The sequence below is a fragment of the Homo sapiens genome, chromosome 11 (genome assembly GCF_000001405.40).
Source record: "Homo sapiens chromosome 11, GRCh38.p14 Primary Assembly".
Taxonomy (NCBI): Eukaryota; Metazoa; Chordata; class Mammalia; order Primates; family Hominidae; genus Homo; species Homo sapiens.
Genome location: NC_000011.10, coordinates 98,583,259 through 98,587,996, shown reverse-complemented (window position 1 = coordinate 98,587,996; position 4,738 = coordinate 98,583,259).

Sequence of the window (4,738 nt, the reverse complement as noted above, 5' to 3'; positions counted from 1 at the left end):
TCACTGAGCTCTCATTCTTCTTCTTGCTGCCACCATGTGAAGAAGGACATGTTTGCCTCTCCTTCCTCCTGAGGCCTCCCCAGCCATGCTGAACTGTAAGTCAGTTAAAACTACTTCCTTTATAAATCACCCAGTCTTGGGTATGTCTTTATTAGCAGCATGAGAATGGACTAATACAGGAGGTCAGACAGGCCTTGTTATACTTCCTCTCTTTTGGAGTTAGGAACAACTGACCAGCATTAATGTTAAAATAGAGATCATAAGACTGACAAAACAGACTCTTTGTGTCATTAAGATAACAAATTTCAACCTGACTCTGGTATATCATCACATGACAGATAGAAGACAGTGAAGGAAATAAAAATATTTTATACCAAAATGTATCTCTTTGAAATGGCCTTGCAAAATCGTCTTTCATGGGGGACATTTGCATCTGTGTAGAATCTCCATTAATACAGCTAAGGCTTTCACAGATCTCAGAGAGATTAAGAGTCTAACACCCTTTCAGGCCTAAAAAGAAATATTTACTATGTATTCTTTCTGAAGGCTGATGCCTGGAATTTTCAGCTACACAAAAGGAATTTTGGCTTTCAAAAACTCCCATAAATTAACTGAATAATTTCTTTCTACTGACTTTAGGACTTTAGACAAAGCTTAACTTTTTCAATCAATTGACAATTAGAAAATCTTTGAATCCACCTATGACCTGTAAGCCCCTACTTGAAGATATACTTCCTCTTTAGGCTGAACCAATGTGTATCTTGCACCTATTGAGTTATGTCTTTGCTTGTAATTTCTACCTCCCTAAAATGTATAAAACCAACCTGTAACCCCACCACCTAGGGCACACTTTCCCAGAAGCCTTTGAGACTCATCCCTGGGCTATGATTTTTCTTATTGTCTCAGAATTAACCTCTTTAAATATTTTACAGAGTTTGTTCTTTTCAACAACAAGCAGAAATTAAGTATAGATGTAATAAATGATAGCTTTTAAAATTTCCCAATTAGATAAGGTGGGATAAAATGTATAATAGTATACTATTCAGGATAAAATGTATAATAGTCTTTTCTCTTTCTGTGGTGTTGACACAGCCTATTGCTGTACGTGTATTAGTAGAAATGAGCAAGCAAATTTTGTTCATTTTTTAAGGAACAAAAATAAATTCAGTTTACATTGGTCTTTCATCCAGAGGCTTTTTTTTAAGTGTTAAACTGACTTCCATCTCTTATGGTGTGCATTCAATAACAGCTAGGGCTTTAAACACTTTGTTTAGAAACACCACCATGGTGAGAAAGCAGTAGGTGAGGCTGATTATTATGAGTTATATTTGGAAGGTTGATTTCCAAAGCAACACACATTGCATTAATGTAAGTCCTCTTATTCACTTCAAATGCATGTGGAGAGTGGCAGCATTATTTTTGTTACACAATCAAACCTAAATAACACTAGCATTCTTGTTGTTGAATTTTTTTACCACTTTATAGATGTCATTGGAATATGAATGCTATAATTAAGCATGCAATGAATTGCCTAATCATGGAGTAGGCTTTCAGTGAAGTAATTTTCATTTATTTAGATAGAATTTTCAAATTCTGTCCACTTGTTTCAAATCTCATAAGAAAGTATAGATTTGTTCTTGAATTTTTAAATTTCCATTTGCTTTTGTACCCATTAAGCAAATACCTGCAATTTGTTTTCTTTAAAAAAGCTGTTTTTCTAGTGCTGCAAAGAAATTCCAAAATCATATGAACTGTTGCAGTAAAACTCAGATTTTTAGACTTTATTATTAATCTTCTTAGTTTAAGCTTATTGCTTTCAAAGCAAGCTACTGAATAAGAAGGCCTCTGTAGCAAGCAAACACACAAATAAATCTGCTTGGGGTGATAGTTTCTTCAAAACAAATTCTTGATATTTTGTAAACTGATAATTTTCTTTCCATATTTTTGTATTTTTTTAACTATATTAAGAACTTTATTATTCATATTTACTCTAAGTTAGGTGTGTCTATTCTATGATTAAAATTCCTAATGCTACTAAATATGGTTGATGAGGTACTGAGGGATATTCTATTTAGTCAAAGTTTAGTAATGAAAATACAATAATTAACTATTTATAACTATAATATAAAATGTATTTTAAAAGGCCCAAAGCAATTCAGACTTTTTTCACCTGCTGAAGGTAGACTATAGACACTTAAAAATCACAAACTTTTGGTGGAAATTTCAGTTTTGCTTCCAAGGCTAATTATTCTTAGCCAATAATTATTTTTATTGTAATTTAAGAACTTCTTTAGATCCAAAACATTCACTATTCTTTAGCTTACTTGGTAATTATGTGTGAGAATTTTACAATGAATGTTCCTTGTCTTCTGCTCTTTGAGTATATATAAAGGTGTTTCTCATCACGCTACTGAATGGAAGCCAGTTTCTAACTTGCTTTTTTTTTTTTTTTTTGAGACAGAGTCTTGCTCTGTTGCCCAGGCTGGAGTGCAGTGGCACGATCTCGGCTCACTGCAAGCTCCGCCTCCCGGGTTCATGCCATTCTCCTGCCTCAGCCTCCCAAGTAGCTGGGGCTACAGGTGCCCACCACCACGCCCACCTAATTTTTTGTATTTTTATTAGAAATCGGGTTTCACCATGTTAGCCAGGATGGTCTCGATCTCCTGACCTTGTGATCCGCCTGCCTCGGCCTCCCAAAGGGCTGGGATTACAGGCGTGAGCCACCGTGCCCGACCTTAACTTGCATTTTTAAACAGAAATTAATAATTTGATTTTCTTTCCTGAAACGGAGTTTTATAACATTTTCCTTTCATTCATTACAGTGTATGTGGAGTAGGAAATACCTGAATTAAATATGTTCCATAGAAGGAACTACAGATCACTCAAGTTAAAAACATAGGGCAGCAACCAGATGTAACCACTTTTATTCATAAGTCAAATACATGGTCACCTTTTCGAGAACATATTTAAGGAAAGCAAACTCATTGTTAACTAAATATTCAATACATAATACACTAATGAATATAGTTTGAGAGAGTCTATGAGCAGAGCCTAACAAATATTGCCATTTAAAAATAAGGACCCTGGGCCAGGTGCAGTGGCTCATGCCTGTAAGCATTTTGGGAGGCCGAGGCGGGTGAATCATGAGGTCAGGAGATTGAGACCATCCTGGCTAACACGGGGAAACCGCGTCTCTACTAAAAATACAAAAAAAAATTTAGCCGGGCGTGGTGGCGGGCGCCTGTAGTCCCAGCTACTCAGGAGGCTGAGGCAGAATGGCGTGAATCCAGGAGGCAGAGCTTGCAGTGAGCCGAGATCGCGCCATTGCACTCCAGCCTGGGTGACAGAGCGAGACTCCATCTCAAAAAAAAAAAAAAAAAGGACCCTGAAAATATATGGAATCCTGGAAGATTGTGAATGGAAATGGAAGACTCCAGATAGACAAAGCAATCCTGAGCAAAAAGAACAAAGCTGGAGAAATCACACTATCTGACTTCAACATCTACTACAATGCTATGGTAATGAAAACAGCATGGTAGTAGCATAAAAACAGATACACAGGCTGATGGAACAGAATTGAGAACCCCAAAATAAATCCACACATTTGCACCTAACTGTTTTTTGACAAAACTATCAAGAACACACACTGGGAAAAGGAAAGTATTTTCAATAAATGGTACTAGGAAAGCAATATCCACGTGTGGAAGAATGAAACTAGACGCCTATCTCTCAGCGTATATAAAAAGCAACTCTAAGTGGATTAAGATTTAAATGTAGGACTCAAAACTATAAAACTGCTATAAGAAAATACGGTGGAAATGCTTCATGAAATTGGACTGGACAAAGTTTTTTGAGTAAGACTTCAAAAGCACAGGCAACAAAAGCAAATACAGACAAATCAGATTATATCAAATTAAAAATCTTCAGGCTGGGCACGGTGGCTCACGCCTGTAATCCCAGCACTTTGGGAGGTCAAGGCGGGCAGATCATGAGGTCAACAGATCAAGACCATCCTGGCCGACATGGTGAAACCCTGTCTCTACTGAAAATACAAAAATCAGCCTCGTGTGGTGGTGGGCTCCTGTAATCCCAGCTACTCAGGAAGCTGAGGCAGGAGAATCACTTGAACCCAGGAGGCAGCGGTTGCAGTGAGCCGAGGCTGCGGACTACACTCCAGCATGGCAACAGAGCGAGACTGTGTCTCAAAAAAAAAAAAAAAATCTTCAGCATAGCAAAGGAAACATCATTTGTTTTCAGTGATGAGACAGCATGCAGAATGGGAGAAAGTATTTACAAACTATTCATCTGACAAGGTGTTAATATCCAAAATAGAGATCGGGCACAGTGGCTCATACCTGTAATCCCAGCATTTTGGGAGGCCGAGTTGGGTGGATCACCTGAGGTTAGGAGTTCCAGACCAGCCCGGCCAACATGGTGAAACCCCGTCTCTACTAAACATACAAAAAAATTAACCGGGTATGGTGGTGTGTGCCTGTAATCTTAGCTACTTGGGAGGCTGAGGCAAGAGAATCACTTGAACCCGGGAGGTGGAGGTTGCAGTGAGCCGTGATGGCACCACTGGATTCCAGCCTGGGCAACAGAGCTGACTCGGTCTCAAAAAATATAAATAAATAAATAAATATCCAAAATACATAAAGAACTCAAACAACTCTATAGTAAAAACAAGCAAATAACTGAATTAACAAATGGGCAAAAGATGTGAATAGGCATTTTTCTA